Source organism: Homo sapiens, chromosome 2, assembly GCF_000001405.40.
Source record: "Homo sapiens chromosome 2, GRCh38.p14 Primary Assembly".
Classification (NCBI taxonomy): Eukaryota; Metazoa; Chordata; class Mammalia; order Primates; family Hominidae; genus Homo; species Homo sapiens.
Window position 1 is genome coordinate 85,223,280 of NC_000002.12, and position 20,019 is coordinate 85,243,298.

At 46.3% G+C, this 20,019-nt stretch overlaps 1 protein-coding gene across 2 annotated transcripts in view, besides 3 other annotated features; it reads left to right on the plus strand.

Moving 5' to 3' along the window:
- The window catches only part of TCF7L1 (transcription factor 7 like 1), a 176,996-nt gene that overhangs the window by 89,888 nt on the left and 67,089 nt on the right, over positions 1–20,019 (plus strand). The gene's annotated exons all lie outside the window — the stretch shown is intronic.
- Positions 11,477–11,982: an enhancer, noted in NCBI's record as "H3K4me1 hESC enhancer chr2:85461879-85462384 (GRCh37/hg19 assembly coordinates)". NCBI's record gives its function as "activates a minimal SCP1, AML or CMV promoter by ChIP-STARR-seq in naive H9 embryonic stem cells {active_cell/tissue: H9 hESC(naive)}" and the evidence as "EXISTENCE:reporter gene assay evidence [ECO:0000049][PMID:30033119]".
- Positions 14,513–15,018: an enhancer, noted in NCBI's record as "H3K27ac-H3K4me1 hESC enhancer chr2:85464915-85465420 (GRCh37/hg19 assembly coordinates)". NCBI's record gives its function as "activates a minimal SCP1, AML or CMV promoter by ChIP-STARR-seq in primed H9 embryonic stem cells {active_cell/tissue: H9 hESC(primed)}" and the evidence as "EXISTENCE:reporter gene assay evidence [ECO:0000049][PMID:30033119]".
- Positions 15,019–15,522: an enhancer, noted in NCBI's record as "H3K27ac-H3K4me1 hESC enhancer chr2:85465421-85465924 (GRCh37/hg19 assembly coordinates)". NCBI's record gives its function as "activates a minimal SCP1, AML or CMV promoter by ChIP-STARR-seq in primed H9 embryonic stem cells {active_cell/tissue: H9 hESC(primed)}" and the evidence as "EXISTENCE:reporter gene assay evidence [ECO:0000049][PMID:30033119]".

Sequence of the window (20,019 nt, forward strand, 5' to 3'; positions counted from 1 at the left end):
CGAAATCCTGGCCTCAAGTGATCCTCTTGCCTTAGCCTCCCAAAGTGCCGGGATTACAGGCATGAGCCACCACACCTGGCCACAAAATAAAAGGTTTTAAATATTTCATTTTTATTCACCTGGCAGAATCCCAGGTAGAAGTTAGAGTGTTTGGTGGATGGTTGAGTGTCTGAGCAGGACCCCACAGCCAAGGGGGGTTAGAGGGAGGGGCCGGCAAGGGTAGGGAATAAGGCCTGATCAAGTGAGCTGCTGGAGGTGGATGTATGGGGTGTCTGCTTCCCCAGGTGGAGCTGGATAGATACTGGTGTGCTGAGAATGAGAAGGAGGATGAAGAAAGTTGCAAAACCCAGCAAAAAGTACCCAAAAGCAACCACTCACAGCAAAAATTGGGGGAATGAGTGATTTAACCCCGCAAGGCATACACTTTCTAGGACTTTACAAATAAGAACACCTTTAGTCCCTACAGCAACCCTCCCATGAGGTATGTGCTTGCTGTTCTTTGTCCCTATTTTACCTTTTTTTATTATACTTTAAGTTCTAGGATACATGTGCACAACGTGCAGGTTTGTTACATAGGTATACATGTGCCATATTGGTTTGCTGCACCCATCAACTTGTCATTTACATTAGGTATTTCTCCTAACACTATCCCTCCCCCAGCCCCCACTCCCCAACAGGCCCTGGTGTGTGATGTTCCTCTCCCTGTGTCCATGTGTTCTCATTGTTCAACTCCCACCTATGAGTGAGGACATGCAGTGTTTGGTTTCCTGTCCTTGTGATAGTTTGCTGAGAATGATGGTTTCCAGCTTCATCCATGTCCCTGCCAAAGGACATGAAATCATCGTTTTTTATAGCTGCATAGTATTCCATGGTGTATATGTGCCACATTTTCTTTATCCAGTCAATTATTGATGGACATTTGGGTCGGTTCCAAGTCTTTGCTATTGTGAATAGTGCCACAGTAAACATACATGTGCATATGTCTTTATAGTAGCATGATTTATAATCCTTTGAGTATATACCCAGTAATGGGATTGCTGGGTCAAATGGTATTTCTAGTTCTAGATCCTTGAGGAATTGCCATACTGTCTTCCACAATGGTTGAACTAATTTACACTCCCACCAACAATGTAAAAGTGTTCCTATTTCTCCACACCCTCTCCAGCACCTGTTGTTTCCTGACTTTAATGATCGCCATTCTAACTGGCATGAGAAATCTCATTGTGTTTTTGATTTGCATTTCTCTGATGACCAGTGATGATGAGTATTTTTTCATATGTCTGTTGGCTGCATAAATGTCTTCATTTGAGAAGTATCTGTTCATATCCTTTGCCCACTTTTTGATGGGGTCATTTGTTTTTTTCTTGTAAATTTGTTTAAGTTCTTTGTAGATTCTGGATATTAGTCCTTTGTCAGATGGATAGATTGCAAAAATTTTCTCCTATTCTGTAGGTTGCCTGTTCACTCTGATGATAGTATCTTTTGCTGTGCAGAAGCTCTTTAATTAGATCCCATTTGTCAATTTTGGCTTTTGTTGCCATTGCTTTTGGTGTTTTAGTCATGAAGTCTTTGCCCATGCCTATGTCCTGAATGGTATTGCCTAGGTTTTCTTCTAGGGTTTTTATGGTTTTAGGGCTTACATTTAAGTCTTTAATCCATCTTGAGTTAATTTTTGTGTAAGGTGTTAGGAAGGGATCCAGTTTTAGCTTTCTACATATGGCTAGCCAGTTTTCCCAGCACCATTTATTAAATAGGGAATCCTTTCCCCATTGCTTATTTTTGTCAGGTTTGTCAAAGATCAGATGGTTGTAGATGTGCAGTGTTATTTCTGAGGCCTCTATTCTGTTCCATTGGTCTATATCTCTGTTTTGGTACCAGTACCATGCTGTTTTGGTTACTGTAGCCTTGTAGTATATTTGAAGTCAGGTAGCATGATGCCTCCAGCTTTGTTCTTTTTGCTTAGGATTTTCTTGCCTATGCCGGCTCTTTTGGTTCCATATGAAATTTAAAGTAGTTTTTTCCAATTCTGTGAAGAAAGTCAGTGGTAGCTTGATGGGGATGGCATTGAATCTATAAATTACCTTGGGCAGTATGGCCATTTTCACGATATTGATTCTTCCTATCCATGAGCATGGAATGTTCTTCCATTTGTTTGTGTCTTCTTTTATTTCGTTGAGCAGTGGTTTGTAGTTCTCCTTGAAGAGGCCCTTCACATCCTTTGTAAATTGGATTCCTAGGTATTTTATTCTCTTTGTAGTAATTGTGAATGGGAGTTCACTCATGATTTGGCTCTCTGTTTGTCTGTTATTGGTGTATGGGAATGCTTGTGATTTTTGCACATTGATTTTGTATCCTGAGACTTTGCTGAAGTTGCTTATTAGCTTAAGGAGATTTTGGGCTGAGACGATGGGGTTTTCTAAATATACAGTCATGTCATCTGCAAACAGAGACAATTTGACTTCCTCTTTTCCTAATTGAATACCCTTTATTTCTTTCTCTTGACTGATTGCCCTGGCCAGAACTTCCAATACTGTGTTGATAGGAGTGGTGAGAGAGGGCATCCCTGTCTTGTGCCGGTTTTCAAAGGGAATGCTTCTAGTTTTTGCTCATTCAGTATGATATTGGCTGTGGGTTTGTCATAAATAGCTCTTATTATTTTGAGATACATTCCATCAATACCTAGTTTATTGAGAGTTTTTAGCATGAAATGCTGTTGAATTTTGTTGAAGGCCTTTTCTGCGTCTATTGAGATAATCACGTGGTTTTTGTCGTTGGTTCTGTTTATGTGAAGGATTACATTTACTGATTTGCATATGTTGAACCAGCCTTGCATCCAGGGATGAAGCCAACTTGATTGTGGTAGATAAGCTTTCTGATGTGCTGCTGGATTCGGTTTGCTAGTATTTTATTGAGGATCTTCGCATCGATGTTCATCAGGGATATTAGCCTAAAATTCTCTTTTTTTGCTGTGTCTCTGCCAGGCTTTGGTATCAGGATGATGCTGGCCTCATAAAATGAGTTAGGGAGGATTTCTTCTTTTTCTATTGATTGGAATAGTTTCAGAAGGAATGGTACCAGCTCCATTTTGTACCTATCCCTATTTTACCATTAAGGAAGCTGACACACAGATAAATTACTTGCCTAAGTCAGTGGCAAGTCCCTTAAGTCACTGGCAAAGCCAGGATTTGAATCTGGGCTAGCCTGGAACCTGGCTTCTTTGCTGCTGTGCCACACTGTGCTTCTCTATGTCAGTGCAACTTCCAAGTTTTGGTGGAAATCTACCACCATAAAGTAGCTTCCTCTCCCAACTTTATTCTCTTAGTTCCCATTCTCCTAATCACCCAAACTTGGTGACTTCAGCTCTTCTCTCCCTCCTGTCCCATAATAACCACTCACTCCTAGGTCCTATGTATTCTCTAAAACTGTCCTGTGATCCCAGAGCCATCTCTCAGAACACAGTTTGTGGTTTTCCAGCCTGGATCACTGCAGTAGTGCCCCTGACTCCAGCTCTTCCCTTTCTGTTTATCTCCCCCCGCCTTTTTTTTTTTTTTTTTTAACCTCCCAGTGCACCACTTTCTCCATGTCATTCTCGTGCTTGCAAACCTTCAAGGCATCCTCATTGATCATAAATTGAACACAAGGTCTTGCTTCTAAGACAGCGAGAACAGTCAGGGCTTGGGTTCAAATAGCACCGCTGCCGCCGTTTTACCCTGTGACCCTGCAGGATGGGGATGGGACTCACTCAGAGAGGCTTTAAGATCAGATGTGCAAAAGCGTACATAGAGTGGCTGAGAAAATACAAGCACTTGGTCTCCAGAGTGAGTTGGTGCTTAACAAATGTTCACTCCTATGCTGTTTTGCTGTTTTTCCGGCATCTACCTTGTAACAACTCTACCAAATCCCTTTATCTTTGGACTTCTCTTCCTGCCCTCACCCCTTTGCACTTAGCTCCGCTCACTGCATTGCTCTGCTCTGCTTACACTGTCAAACCCCCTCTGAACTCAACTAAAGGAGCCTCCCTCTCCCTCAGGCCTTGGCGACCTGTTCTTCCCATGAACTACTAGAGTGGTTGCCACTTGAACAACGCCTGGGTTTTTTGGACCATTCGAATTTCAGAAAACTTGGTGGGGAAAAGGGACTGTCAGAGTAATACCCCCTCTTTTTTTTTTTTTTAACCAAGTAAGAATATTAAGAGAAACAACGATCCTAATTTCATGTGAAAAAGAATATTTTAATAATAACAAAAAGGGTGGGTGGGGGGACAAGCTCACCCTAGAGCAAAGGACAGTCTTTTAAATTATATAAGCTTAGCTTTAGTTAAAAACTTGACTCTTCAGTCTTGTTTCTACCATTCTAATAGAAACCAGTGATGCCTGCCACTTATTTGAGTGTATATGGCTCATTTCCCATCCTCCTTATAAGCTCTGGATTCTGGGCTGGGCACAGTGGCTCACACCTATAATCCCAACACTTTGCGGCCCAAGGTGGGAGGATCTCTTGAGGCTAGGAGTTCAAGACCAGGCTGGGCAACAGAGTGAGACCCTGTCTCTACAAAAATAAAAATTAGCCAGGCGTGGTGCCGTGCACCTGTAGTCCCAGCTACTCGGGAGGCTGAGGTGGGAGGATTGCTTGAACCCAGGAGTTTAAGGCTACAGGGAACTATGATCTCCCTACTGCACTCCAGCCTGAGTGACAGAGCAAGACCCTGTCTCCAAAAAAAAAAAAAAAAAAAAAAAATTAGTCACAAACATTTTCATGTTGTTTGGGTATTTGTTTTTCCATTCAACATTTAATCCTTGAGTAGGTCCTAGCAGTCTGGGCAGTGTCTTAGGGACTAAGGTATTATAAAAAGATAGGAGACTGGGTGTGGTGGCTCATGCCTATAATCCCAACACTTTGAGAGGCCAAGGCAGGAGGATCACTTGAGCCCACGGGTTCAAGATCATCTTGGGCAACATAGCGAGACCCAGTCTCTACAAATAATTTTAAAAATCAGCCATGTGTGGTGGTGCACGCCTGTAGTCTCAGCTACTTGGGGAGTTGAGGCAGGAGGATCCCTTGAGACTAGGAGGTCAAGGCTGCAGTGAGCCGTGATTGCACCACTGTACTCCTGCCTGGGTAACAGAGTGACACAAAATTCTGTTTAATAAAAATTAAATGATAGGGTTCCAGCCTTAGAGGGACTGCGTTTCAAGTGAGAGAGAGGGATGAATGTCCAGTCACCAGTGGGGACGTTGTGCTGAGGAAGGGCAGCCTAGACCTTGAAAGGGAGCGAAGAGGTGGGTTGGGGCTCCCTGCAAAGTATGCCACCTGACTTGGGGTTCCCAAGGAGTTCAGAATGGTTGGAATTTAGTCACAGGAAGCAAGGAAGGAGATGTTGAGAGATGGGCTAGGGAGGTAACAGAGACCAGCCCTCAAAGTCCTTCTTTATCATTCTTAGAAATTTGAACCTTAGGCTGGGCTCGGTGGCTCACGCCTGTAATCCCAGCACTTTGGGAGGCCGAGGCGGGCAGATCATGAGGTCAGGAGATTGAGACCATCCCGGCTAACACGGTGAAACCCCATCTCTCCTAAAAAAAAAAATACAAAAAATTAGCCGGGGAGGGTGGTGGGCGCCTGCAGTCCCAGCTACTCGGGAGGCTGAGCCAGGAGATTGGCATGAACCCAGGAGGCGGAGCTTGCAGTGAGCCGAGATTGCGCCACTGCACTCCAGCCTGGGCGACAGAGAGAGACTCTGTCTCAAAAAAAAAAAAAAAAAAAGAAAGGAAAAGAAATTAGAACCTTGGGCCAGGCGCGGTGGCTCACGCCTGTAATCCCAGCACTTTGGGAGGCTGAGGCGTGCGGATCACAAGGTCAAGAGATTGAGACCATCCTGGCCAACATGGTGAAACCCTGTCTCTACTGAAAATACAAAAAATTAGCTGGGCGTGTTGGCACACACCTGTAGTCCCAGCTACTCCGGGAGGCTGAGGCAGGAAAATCACTTGAACCCGGGAGGCGGAGCTTGCAGTGAGCTGAGATCGTGCCAGTGCACTCCAGCTGGGAGACAGAGCGAGACTCCGTCTCAAAAAAAGAAAAGGAAGGAAGGAAGGAGATTGGAACCTTATTCTGAAGGAAACAGGAGCTATTGAAAAGGTGTCCTATAACCCCAATTCTGCTAAAGAGATGGAGAGAGAAAGAACTGGAATGATAGGAACATGTGTACAAGTGCAGCTCTATTCTGACAGGACACTAGGAAGAGGCACACCAGACTGAGTTACATACAGAGAAGGGGGGAGCACATTCAGAGGGGTCATCACCTCGTCTGTCTTGAGCTACTAGAGAGAGAGAGAAGGGAAGGTGAAAGTGTGTTGATTAAAGAAAATTTGGAGATTGGGGGAAGATTTTTTTAAATTTTACTTAATCATCCAGCCACCAATATATATCAGTTTTAAAATGTTGGTCCAGTTTGGGTGCAGTGGCTCACACCTGTGATCCCAGCACTTTGGAAGACTGAAGTAGGTGGATCACTTGAGCTCAGGAGTTTGAGACCAGCCTGGCCAACATGGGAAAACCTGTCTCTACTAAAAATACAAAAAAATAGCCGGACGTGGTGGCACAGGCCTAGAGTCCCAGCTACATGGGCTGCTGCGGCAGGAGGATCGCTTGAACCTGGGAGGTCAAGGCTGCAATGAGCTGAGATAGTGCCAGTAACACTCCAGCCTGGGTGGCAAAGTGAGACCCTGTCTCAAATAAATAAATTAAATGTTGGTCCACTTTCTGCCAGACCTTTCTTCTGGCATGTAAGTTTTCTGCTTCTTTCTCTTTTTCAAATATCGTTGTCTTCATACTGAGGTACAATTTGGTGTCCAGCTTTTTTCACTTCATACTTTATCCTAAGCACTTTCTTCAGTTGACTCCCCTGTTTCCTTGTTTTTAGAAACTCGGGTTTTTCTGGTGCTTTACTCTCATAAACAATAGTGCAGTGCATGATTCTTATGGATTAAGCTTTTTCTGAATTTAGGATTAGTACCCTGGAGTACAATCCTAGATTTGGGCTCATTGAGTAAAAGGCTAGAAACATCTTTTTTTGAGACAGAGTTTCACTCTTGTTGCCCAGGCTGGAGTGCAATGGTGTGATCTCGGCTCACTGCAACCTCCACCTCCTGGGTTCAAGTGATTTTCATGCCTCAGCCTCCCAAGTAGCTGTGATTACAGGCACCCATCACCACGCCCAGCTAATTTCTTGAATTTTTAGTAGAGATGGGGTTTCACCATGTTGGCCAGGGTGGTCTCGAACTCCTGACCTCAGGTTATCCACTCGTCTCAGCCTCTCAAAGTGCTGGGATTATAGGCATGAGCCACCACGCCCAACCTTAGAAACATCTTAAAGCTACATCATATCACCAGATTTCCTTGCAGGGGGCTGAATCAGCTTATACCGGGGGCAACCATAGAGTGCCCATTTCTCCTGCATCCCTACGTGACACTCTGCTTTCTGTGGGGCAGCCTTGTTATTGCGAAGAACCAGTACTACTAACGTGCTTTTTTAAAAAACAAAAATTGTAATAGCTTCAAGGCTGCATACACGTTGCCAGAGGAAAAGCCTGAGGGGATGGGTGGATATCGCCTTTTAATTTGCTGTTAGTTTTCCATAAAGGAACAAATGCCTAAAACTTTCCAAAACTTAGTCTAAGTTTGGACAGATCCCTGTGTCTTGAAATCTTGGTCCCCTCAGGAATAATGCTCTATTTAGAGAGGAAGAACATATAAATGTTCCCAGAAACATTATAGGGTACTTGAAAATCCTTTGGAACATCTGCAAGTATCTTGCAGATGAACGAGGTTACTAAGCTGGCCAGCAGGAACAGCCAGGTCTAATGTGCGCCCCCAGGAAGCCAGGCCTGTTGAGGTGGGTCTGTTAGAGAGCCCCAGGCTGTAGGGTTGCCCACCTGACTCAGCTGCCCAAGCATCTCTCCTCTGTCTGGCGCTTCCTCCTAGCATCCTGGTTTGTATTCCTACTTTGAGTTGAAACTGGGCTTTTCACTCCTGAGTAGCTCTAGAAGACCTAAGAACCACTTCACATCTGAGAATGATCAATTGTTGGCTGAGATGACAGAGTTATCTGGTCCAACTATTTGTTGCCTGGCCTCTGCCTGAACACCTGCAGTGATGGGGGCAGCCTAGAGCAAACTGAATTCCTCCTCGTCCACGTGACAGCCTTTCACTTTTCAGATCACCTTCCTCACACTGATGGTCTCATACAACATCATTTTGAATGTCCTCAGCTCTCTGCACCACCCACCCAACTCCACTCTGGGCCACCGCTGGTGTATCCAAGATCAGGACACCAGTCCCTGGGCACCAGGGAGTATGCTGGCCACTGAAGCAGCTTCGTTTTTCCGGCACCCATGTTGTAAAATCGACTCCCCCAAAAGTTATTGTCCACATGTGTAACTGTCCCTCCCACCATGTCCCCTTCCACACACTATTTCCCACCCCTGGCATGGGTATAGGACGTCATTTCTGTTAACCTTGTGTTGGTGGGTTTATCTCTTTTTTCTAGCGTAGTGTAGGGATTGAGGGTGCAGACCCTTTGGTCAGGGTAGGTTTAGATCCCACCCTGGGTGAGTCAGAGAGCTTCCCTGTGCCTCCGTTTCTTCATCTGTAAAATGAGACCCTCAACAGCCCCTACTTCAGATAGTGCTCAAGAGGATTGAGTTAATGTTAGCGAAGGACTTCGGATGGTGCCTGGTATGCTGTAAGATGGGTGTCATTTCTCATTGTCACACCGTTGAGAGTCCAGATCTTCATCATGTTTCCTCTGCATCTGACTGGTGAGCCTCCCAGATCAGCAGCCCACAAGGCGATCGGGTCAGGGCTGAGTAGCTGCCAGCAGAGGCTGGAGACTTGAGGCTGTCGTGCAATCCATTCTCGCCTTTGTCTGCTTTCTGTCTTTTGTTTTCTGCTCTGTGTGTGTTTGTTTTTGTGATTGTTATTTTAAGTCTCTCTCAGGAATGCTTCGTGATGCTCAGCCCGGTCAAGCGATCTGTATACATCCTCCATTATTTCTTCTCCATTTCTTTTTAATCATATTTCCTCCTCTGAACTTCTACCCTCAGATTTATTCATTATCTAACAAATACTGATGGTGCAGCTCCATGGCCCAAAGCTGTTCTGGGGGCCACAGCAGTGATATGAGTGTCCTGGGGAAGCTGACATTCCACGGACACAAGCAGCCATTCGTCTGTCTCATTCCGCCAAGACCTCTGTGAGGTCTTGTTGACCCCTTTGCATGATGATCTTAAGTTTGTTCACCACTGTTCAGCATATGGGCATTAAACCCTATTTTTGCATTCTCCTTCCCACTATTTTCTCCTACTGATTAAGCGGTATCTCCTCCACTGTTATTTTTCTTCCAGTGACATATTCAGGAAGAGCAAGATCTCAAAAAATATAAATGTTGATGTTCCCCATCCAATCCCGGTTGTCATTAGAATGTTTATACTTATCCACGCAGTGCTTCAGTTCTGGAATATATTCATCTTTACCTTACCCTGGTTAGCAATAACAGCAACAGGAATTAAAACCAGTGGGCTACTGTTACAGCTTGGCAGGTGTAACTTCAGAGAACAAAGGGGATTCTTTTTTGTTTTTTGTTTGTGATTTTGTTTATTCATTTATTTATTTTTTTGAGACAGGGTCTCCCTCTGTCACCCAGGCTAGAGTGCAGCGAAATCACAGCTCACTGCAGCCTCGACCTCCTGGGCTCAAGAGATCCTCCCACCTCAGCCTTCTCAGTAGCTGGGACTACAGGTATGTGCCACCATGCCTGGCTAACTTTTTGGGTTGTTTTGTAGAGAAGAGGTCTCCCTGTGTTGCCCAGGCAGGTTTTGAACTCCTGGGCTCAAGAGATCCACCCTCTTCAGCCTCCCAAAGTGCTGGGATTACAGGTGTGAGCCCCCACACCCATCCTGGAGATTCTTCTTCATTTTCTCCTGACCTGAAGAGTCAGCACACTTTCTTTTTGTGTTCTCTAAAAAGGTTAAATTCAGAGATTTTTTTTTTTTTTTTTTTAGATGGAGTCTCGCTCTGTTGCCAGGCTGGAATGCAATGGCGTGATTTCGGTTCACTGCAACCTCCGATTCTCTGGTTCAAGTGATTCTCCTGCCTCAGTCTCCTGAGTAGCTGGGATTACAGGCACACACCACCACGCCTGGCTAATTTTTGTATTTTTAGTAGAGATAGGGTTTCACCATGTTGGCCAGGATGGTCTCGATCTCCTGACCTCGTGATCTGCCCGCCTCAGCCTCCCAAAGTACTGGGATTACCAGCGTGAGCCACTGCACTCAGCCAGAGAATTATTTTTAACATGCTATAAAATTAACTTTTGGGGTTTTAACAAATTGTACCACCACAATCATGATATAGAACAATTCCACCCACCCCCAAATTTCCCTGGGCATCCCCTTTGTAGTGAGCCCCAAACCCTGGCAACTGCTGATCCACTCTCCATCCCTCTGGTTTTGCCTTTTCCAGGATATAAGTGGATTCGTATGGTGTGTAGCCTTTTGATTCTGGCTTCCTCTGCTCACTAATATGCACTTGAAATTCATCCACATTGCTGCAGGTATTAGTAGTTCTTTTTCATTACCGAGCGGTTTTCCGTTGTATGGATGAACCCGTGTTTGTTTATTCATTCATCTGCTGAAGAACATTTGGATTGTTTCTAGTGTGGGAAGATTATGTATATAACTGTTATAAATAGTCACGTAAAGTTTTTGTGTGAGAATATAATCTTCTAATAAGGCATTTCACTTTTCATCTCTCTTGTTCCACTCTGCTTTTTTCATTTCTTTTCTTTTTTCTTTTCTTTTTTTTTTTTTTTTTTTTTTCGAGATGGAGCCTCGCTCTTTCGCCAGGCTGGAGTGCAGTGGCATGATCTCAGCTCACTGCAACCTCTGCCTCCCAGGTTCAGGCGATTCTCCTGCCTCAGCCTCTCGAGTAGCTGGGAATACAGGCACCTGCCAACACGCTCAGCTAATTTTTGTATTTTTAGTAGAGATGGGTTTTCACCATGTTGGCCAGGATGGTCTCGATCTCTTGACCTTGTGGTCCACCCACCTCGGCCTCCCAAAGTGCTGGGATTACATGTGTGAGGCACCACACCTGGCCATTCCACTCTGATTTTAAAGGTTGTGGAAATTTTGGTAGAAACTCTGCCTGGTAAGTTACAGATGGTACTGCATCTTTTGAAGGAATGCCCCCATTCTTTCAAAAGATTGATTTCACGAATTCCCAAACATATGCCAAAGAATTTCTCACCTCTTGAGAAGTCTTGGACCACATTCCCCATCTGCTGGAATTTATGTTCTGCCCGAAGTGGATCGCCTACTTAACTTTTAATTTTTTGTCTGTGGGTTGATACCTTTCTAAATCACAAAATCACCATGATGCTAAGCAAAAGATGAAGACGCTAAAGGTGGTGAGGTCCAGGAAACTCAGAATAGGGCTTTGTCGTCTCATGGACACATGGGAAGAAAGGTGAGGTCAGCTTGAGTGTGCAGATGTTGGCATCATTGAAGGTGAAAGGGTGGCTTGGATTGCAGAGGCTCTGCAGGAGAGGGTTGCTGGGGATGGGCCGAGGTTTGGGGATTTAACTTGTTTCTGAAGGGTGTTCTCAAATCCTGCTCTGGATAATTCCCCAACTACCATTTAATCAGCTCCATTAAACCCTGCCCTGTCTAGCGCACTGTGCTCCAGACAGGGCTCTCCTGGGCTCCCAGTAATAGCTCAATTGTGTGTAAGTGGCTGTGAAGAGGCTCTGTGTGCTGGATGAATAGGCCTCATCTCCATGGAAACCAGAGCTTACTGAGGGGCTGACCTCTGACCCACTTGTTGCCACCATACTGTTAACCACTGGTACCTCTTGGGTGGAGAAAGAAAGCAAGGAAATGGCTGTCAGAATTGTTTTCATTTTCCCTTAGTTTAGGCCTGGGTCCCCACTAAGTACAAATAACACGCTCATATTAATCCAAAGCACTTGGATGTGAGTTTGGCTTCATTATGGACTTTGTCTGTCCCTACCCTGTCTCCCCGAAGCCATTTCTTTATCCTACAATCTAGGATGCAGTGGAGTGAGCAGGGTTGGTTTATCACCACCCTCTGGGGATGCTGGGAATGTGGTTCCTAAGGGGCAGTGTGGAAAAGAGGAAGGCCCCGTGCTGGGAGCCCCACCCCCTAGGCTCAGGGCTGGCTCCCTTGTGGTGTGACCATGGGCACATTTCCTCATCTGTACCATGGAGCTAATCCCTACCTGCAGCCCAGAAGCCTCGCGGAGCTCAACTAGGAAGAGGCAGCCAATGTGTTATACCTGTGACGCTCTCCACTAGCCAAGGCATTAGGATCTTAAGGGCAAGGGCAAAACAGGTACCTTTTTAGCAATGACATAAATAAAAACTTGGCTACACCTTATAAGGGGCCAGGTGCGGTGTGGCTCATGCCTGTAATCCCAACACTTTGGGAGGCCAAGGTGGGAGCACTGCTTGAGCCCAGGCATTCAAGATCAGCCTAGGTAACATAGGGAAAGTCTGTCTCTACCAGAAATAAAAACCCACCAGGCTGGGTACTGTGGCTCATGATTGTAATCCCAGCACTTTGAGAGGCGGAGGCAAGAGGATCGCTTGAGCCCAGGAGTTCAAGACCAGCTAAGCAATATAGTGAGACCTCGCCTCTACAAAAAAAATCAAAAAATTAGCCAGGCATGGTGGCATGCCCTCAGCTACTTGGGGAGCTGAGGTGAGAGGATTGCCTGAGCCCTGGAGGTCAAGGCTGCAGTGAGCTGTGATTGCACTGCTGCACCCCAGCCTGGGTGACAGAGCAAGACCTTGTCTCAAACCACGCCATCCCCCCCCCAAAAAAAACCCAACCTTGAGACTCATGCCAAGATGGCTTTAACAACCCTGAAGTGAGTTATTCACTCAAGCCCGGTCTGTATCAGTGAGTATTTCAGACCCTATGGCACTCTGTCCATACAGGCAGATTTTTCTGGACTCTGTTCTTTGCTTTGAGATGACCTGGGTCACCATGGTTGTCCTGGACTCCAGGAGACATCACAGGCAAAATCAGGTCCATACTTCCCCCGTTTGTCTGCAGAGAGGCCTCTGGTGTGGGTCAGATCCAGGGGCTTTCCTTCTATGTTTGCAGCTGGAGGCCTCTGGATGCAATTGTGTGAACCCCCTGGTGTGTCCCTGGAGCCCCAGAATGTAAGAATGAATTTTCAAGAGAAAGGTGAGAGACAGGTGCTGGGCTTGTCAGATTTCTGGCTGGGAGGCATCCCATAAGGTAAGTCAGGTAATTTCTTGGAAAGAGAGCCTTGCCGGGGATCAGTTATATGTATCTACCCATGTATCATGCTCTGGGGGCTGTGTTGGGGGCAGGGGCAACATAAGAGGTAAACAGAGTCCCAAGTCTGAGCTCCTGGGAGAAAGTCAGAATGCAAAGTAACAATTTCATTTTAGAGGAGCGTCAAAAGTCTCATGGCTTTCTAGGAATTGCCGAGTAATAGGAACCAGGAGGAGAGAAGGAGGGACTGCAGGGTCATTTGCAGTGACTGAGATTTCCAAATGCTTTGTTCCCTAAACCTGTCTACCACCACGGGGCGAGGGCATCAGCTCTTTGCATCCCTCAGACCCCAGGTCACTGTCGTAAGCTCTTTTCTTGGAACTCTGATCTCAGATAACCTGCATTAGTCTGAAATAGGATGCTGAGATACCACCATAGGCTCAGGAGAGGTGCTTTTTAGACCTTTCTGGTTGGGTTTTCCCATCTGCCCTGAAGTATGGTCCAGGAGGTGGTGATCATTTGGAGCACGTCTTAGGACTGGAGAGGCCCAAAATACCTTCAAGCCTTTTGTTATAGTTCTAAGGTATTTGTTAGAACTCCTGGACAGTTTGTCTAGTGGTTTGTTGTGTTTTTTAAAATTTCCAGCAACTTGCCCACACACTTGGCCAAGCTTTGGACTGAGAAGGATGCAGTGGTGCAATCACAGCTCACAGTTATAACAAGGATCCTTCACTGGATCCTTGTTATAACTGTGGCCCCTGATTGGAGCCCTGGTGACTCCGAGGTCTGCAGTGCAGCCCCCTCTCAGCCTGTCGCTTGCTGTCTGGGGCTTCCACAGTGTGGAGCAGCTGCTCCTTTCCTGGGCTACAGGAAGGCTATGTACAACCTGCACAGGCATCCACAGGATCACTCACTCTAAGTGGTTCAACATGCTTTTCCATCCTCAGAAAATGTCACTATCCATGTACCAACTATTTACAGGAGATTGGGTTGGGGGCAGTGTTCCCTCTGCCCCAAGTTGTGGGGAGCCAGAAATACACATATATTAACCCTGGGCTTGGAGAGTGGAGAAGAGAGCATCTCTTCATTCTGCAGCTGTGTAAACAGTGGGGTTGGGGGGTGGGTTGCAAAGCTAAGGATAATGGGGGAGGGAGGAGGGGCATGAAGAAGGAGGGAGGGGGCTGGTGGGGGGCTGCCAAATCAGGCAGGGTCAGGGAGGAGAGGGTAAGAACAGGAGGCCTAAAGCGGGGTTCGCGGGCTCCCTGGCTCTTCACATATGGAGGACATGCCTCCGCAGAAGCGGGAGGCATGCAAGCAAAGTGTGAGCGGACAAAGAGGAAAGTGACGCAGGGGGAAGGTGATGCGGGCAGGACCCAACAGGTGGTGGCATTCCAGGCGAAGGAGGCTTCCGCCCTGGGCCGCCAGGGTCAGTGGGAGGAAAGGCTCTCCCTGCCTGGCTCAGTTGAAGCAGATGATTATTAGGTTCCTGCTGTATACCCAGAGCAGCCCTGGCGCAGTGGCAGCGAGCGAGGGAGGTGGAGATTCAGTTGTGTAAGACATAGGCACTATTCACTAACAGTCCATAAGTGCATGGGGAAGAAAGGCCAGCACACAGACGACTCCAGGCTTCGGCACTTTGTGTCCTGTGAAGGGTTTTGGAGGAAGGGGAGGAGCCCCGAAGTCAGGGCAGGCAGCGGGAGGCGGGCTTAGGAGCTTCAGCTGGGGCAGGGAAGGCCGTTCTCCAGGTACTGGGGGAAGGGCACAAGCAAACAGAGACACGGAGCCTTCAGCTGCCTTATCTGCAAGGAAGATGACTACTCTTTTGGGGGGATTCAGAGCAGCATCTTATCCGGCACATGGCACCCGTGGTAGGAACTGAGTCATCCCGCACAGCCGGGGCCGTGATTCCTTCATTGATTCTTCCTTCAACGCTTCCTTATGGATTGCCTTCTGCCTCCAGTCACTGTCCTAGGAGCTGAGGATGGGGCAGAAAACCACACAGGCAAAGTCTATGCCCTCATGGATATCACATTCTGCTGGGGGGAAACAGAGAGTGAACAGATGGAAACACCCAGACAGTAATGATACACCATACAGAGGACTGCGCAGCACAGTGGGGTAGTATCTGAGGGGCTACTTTAGGTTGGATGGACAGGGAACAATCTTTTGGAGCATTTTATTTATTTATTTATTTATTTATTTATTTATTTATTTATTTATTTATTTATTTTTCTTGAGACAGGGTCTTACTCTGTCGCCCAGACTGGAGTGTCGTGGCGCAATTTCCACTCACTGCTGACTCCGCCTCCCGAGGTCAAGCAGTTCTTCTGCCTGAGCCTTCCAAGTAGCTGGGACTACAGGCGTGATCCACCACCACACCGACTAATTTTTGTATTTTTAGTAGAGATGGAGTTTCATCATGTTGGCCAAACTGGTATTGGAGCATTTTAAACAGGGGTCCAGGGGTATGACTAAATCTGATATAAAATTTAACGTAATTCCTTAACTGTGTAGAATTTAACTGTGTAGAAAAGAGATGGAAGGAAGGGTTAAGAGTTGGGTCCCTGTTTTGGAGATGTATATACCCCACTTCCCTCACTGGACCAGCCCGCCAGGCTGAGGCTCCCCCTGCAGTCCCTGTATGCTCCTTCCTATGCAGTCGGAGGCCTTCCCTGTGGTCCTTTGCCCTGCTTCTCTGCTGCTGTGAGGGTTGCTCCCTGCCCTCCAGACCCCTCCCTGCCCTGCCACGGACACAGACCCCAGGCAGCATCCCTCCCCCTCATGCTGGGCACAGTGTGGACTGTTTCTCCTCTATGTGCAAACTCATCACAGTGTGGACTGTTTCTCCTCTATGTGCAAACTCTTCCCAACCCATCATGCCCTGGAAGATGCCATGCCCCCAAACGCAGTGGGAGCAGTGGATTTGGCCCAGGTCTGTCCCTGGCCTGCTGGATGACTTTGCACCAATCTCTCCAGGGTGGTACTGTCCAATAAAAATGAAATATAAGCTGAAGCAGTAATTTTAAATTTTCATGTAGCCACATTAAAAGAGAATGAAGATCGGGCGCAGTGGCTCATGCCTGTAATCCAGGCACCTTGGGAGGCTGAGACAGGCAGATCACTTGAGGTCAGGAGTTCGAGACCAGCTTGACCAACATGATGAAACCCCATCTCTACTAAAAATACAAAAAATTTAGCCGGGCATGGTGGCACGCACCTGTTAATCCCACCCACTGGGGAGGATGAGGCAGGAGAATCACTTGAACCTGGGAGGCAGAGGTTGCAATGAGCCAAGATCGCGCCACTGCACTCCAGCCTGGGCAACAGAGCGAGACTCCATCTAAAAAAAAAAAAAAAAACAAAAAAAAAACAAGAATGAAAAGGAAGCAAGTAAATTAATTTTAATAGTATATCTTATGTAACCCAATTCATCAACAGTATTAGCATTTCAACATGTAATCAATTTAAAGACTGATTACTGAGACGTTGGATGTTCTTTTCTCGTACTGAGTGTTCCGTGTGTGTTTCCTGTGGCCTGCATGCCATTTCCAGGGCTCCATAGCCACATGTGGCAAGTGGCCACTGCACTGCATGGACCACGTTGCACAGAGCAGCTCTGGGAGCCTCCCTTTCCTCCTCTGCACAATGGAGATGATTATGTCCCTGCACCTCCCTCTCTCACAAGGCTGTTGTGAACACAGAGGAAGCCGGGGGACTGCTGTGGAGATGAAGGATGTTTTAAACCTCAGGCTGTCATCGCAGAGGGTGTGGATGGCAAACCGGAGAGGAGTCAAAGGGCTGATATGGGAACTTCCCTCCTGTTTCTAACAGTTCCCGTGTTAGAGGTGAAGGAGATAACTGAGAAACACACAGATGATAAAACCATTGGCTGGGCATGGTGGCTCACACCTGTAATCCCAGCACTTTGGGAGGCCAAGGTGGGTGGATCGCCTGAGGTCAGGAGTTTAAGACCAGGCTGGCCAACATGGCCAAACCCCATCTCTACTAAAAATACAAAAAAAAAAAAAAAATTAGCTGGACATGGTGGCGAGTGCCTGTAATCCCAGCTACTCTGAGGCAGGAGAATCGCTTGAACCCAGGCGGCAGAGGTTGCAGTGAGCCAAGATCACACCAGTGCACTCCAGCCTGGGCAACAGAGCAAGACTCTTGCCTCAAAAAAAAAAAAAAAAAAATCAGTTGCCTGAAATAGTGCTTGTACTTACAGATTAAGTCACCAAGGGGCAGAATTTTGTGCCTGCTGAAATTTGAAAAAATAGTCTTGCAGCCAAAAGAGAGAAAAATGTGTTTCTTTCCTAAACTATGGTAATAGTAAAAGTATGTGATGCTTTTTGTTAAGTTTTATTTTAATGGAAATATTAAATCTGTGCCTTTTGTTTTTGTTTTTAAGGAAATGGAGAAAGGAAGGAAGCTGGAGGGTTTAAATTCATTATGCTAGCTTTAGATTCTGCAAAATCAGGAAATCAGAAAGTACAAGTTCTCAGAGTTAGTGACATTTAACTCAATTGGGAAGGGCCCGCCCAAGGTCACCCTTTTAAAGGGTTTGTCTTCCTTTTCAACATTTTTTACACAGCATGTCTTTTGGAGCTCAGCAGTTTTTGCTCTCTTTCTTTCTCAGTGTGGGAACAGAAGTTGGCACACGAGTATTTTCCTCATTTGACTCTTGAAATGCCCTGTCCTCAGTGCCTTCTACATGGTGGTGCACAGTAGAAGTTTGTTGACTGACTCATTGAGTCTAGAGGATGGGAGCAGGGGAACAGCAGGGAAGAGCCTCTTTGCACTCTTTGATCCAGAGGACTGGATGCACTTTGTTTTTGTTTTTTTTTTTTTTTTTTTTTTTTTTTTGAGATGGAGTTTCACTCTTGTTGCTTAGGTGAATGCAATGGCACCATCTTGGCTCACTGCAACCTCTGCCTCCCGGGTTCAAGCGATTCTCCTGCCTTAGCCTCCTGACAGCTAGGATTACAGGTGCCCGCCACCATGCCCAGCTAATTTTATATTTTTAGTAGAGACAGGGTTTCACCATGTTGGTCAGGTTGGTCTCGAACTCCTGACCTCAGGTGATCTGCCCACCTTGGCCTCCTAAAGTGCTGGGATTATAGGCATGAGCCATCGGGCCCAACCTGGGTACACTTTCAAGCAGTCCTTGTTCATGCATGATAATTCAGGCCCCAGATATATTTTTATTTTATTGACTTCCTTAGAAACTTAAAAAAAGAAATTAAATACAGCCACTGTTTATTTTTAGTATTTTAACTAAACTGTCTGTTGGACTCTATTTGTATTTCCTTAGGACCTGGATAACTCCGTGAGTCCAGGAATAGTTTGCTTTTTGGTAAATATTCCTTTCAGGTTTCTCTTTGCTTGCTTGCTTTTTTTTTGGGCGGAGGGGGGCGGTGGTGCGGGGGGGCAAGAATAGATTTTTGAATCATGAGAACCTAAAAACATCTGTAAGTCTAAGGGACCATCTTAAAGAAGCCAGTGAGAACTTCTTCTATTATCTGGATCACTTAAAATCAAACCAAGCATTTACCTACAAGGCCCCAGGGGCTCTGACATTTGTGATCTCATAATTCTTCCATTGATACCATGAGGCTGGAAACCCTATGGTTGCTGGCTTCCCTGGGTCACTTGGCTGCCTCTGGGCTGCCAACATAGAACCCACGTCACATAAAGCCCCGGCCCAAGTAAAATGCCAACATCCAGGCCAAATCCACACTTTTCCATTTGTGAACATGTCGCGCTTAAGAATTACCTCCCTTCTTTCTGGGATGGCTCAAATAATGGAAGGAATGGTCCTCCATCACCTTGAGGTTTTGTCAGCTTGACGTCCTCATCCAAGCCTGACCACAGCCGTTATGACAGCATGAATGCAAACACCACCTCTCCTGACCTAGACGCTGCACCCGGCTGTGCCCGCTTCTGCTGTAGGGAGAGTCAGTGAGGTCCATCTGCAGCCTTCCTCCTTTTCCTTGAATGGGGCTTGGCATTGAGGTTTGTGCACACCCTGTATAGAAGGCAAATGTTGAGGCCAGCCTTGTCCCCAGGCTCAGTCTTCCTGAAGACTTTGTCACTCCTGCTCACAGCACCCACTTTCTCCCCTTCCACACGGGATGTGTTGCTTCCTCCTGTTTCTTCTCTTTGCAGATCTCCAGTTTTCTGTCTCCTTCAAGAAATCTCCCCAGGGCCTCTATATCCCCTTTTCTCTGCCTCCCTATTGAAGCAGATGTTTTACCTCAGCCTTTCCTAGTACACTGTACTGTTTTAAAAACTATTGAATGAAAGGGCATGTTTTCCTTTCCTTTCCCCATTTAGATTACACACCTCTGGCAGTGGGGCCTCCAGCAAGTCTTAAAGATCTCGACGCACCGACATCTTGGCACATAGTAGTTAACAATAAGTAACTGTTCAATTGGCTTCTAGTTGAACCTCATATGTCTTGGTTAACATGTGCAGGATTGGTAGGCATTCAGCCCCAATTATTCCGCCCTTAACTCATTTTTGCAGTTTATTAATAATCAGTTGGCACGCAGTTTCGAAAGAACTAATTCTGTAATAACATGTTATGGCTACTCCTCGGCGCCATTACATGCCTGAGGTCCCTTGCTGTCCCTTTGTGTTTTTGATGAAAGGTAACAGCCTGGTGTTCCCAGCCGTCACCCAGAGGTGGGAGCAGAT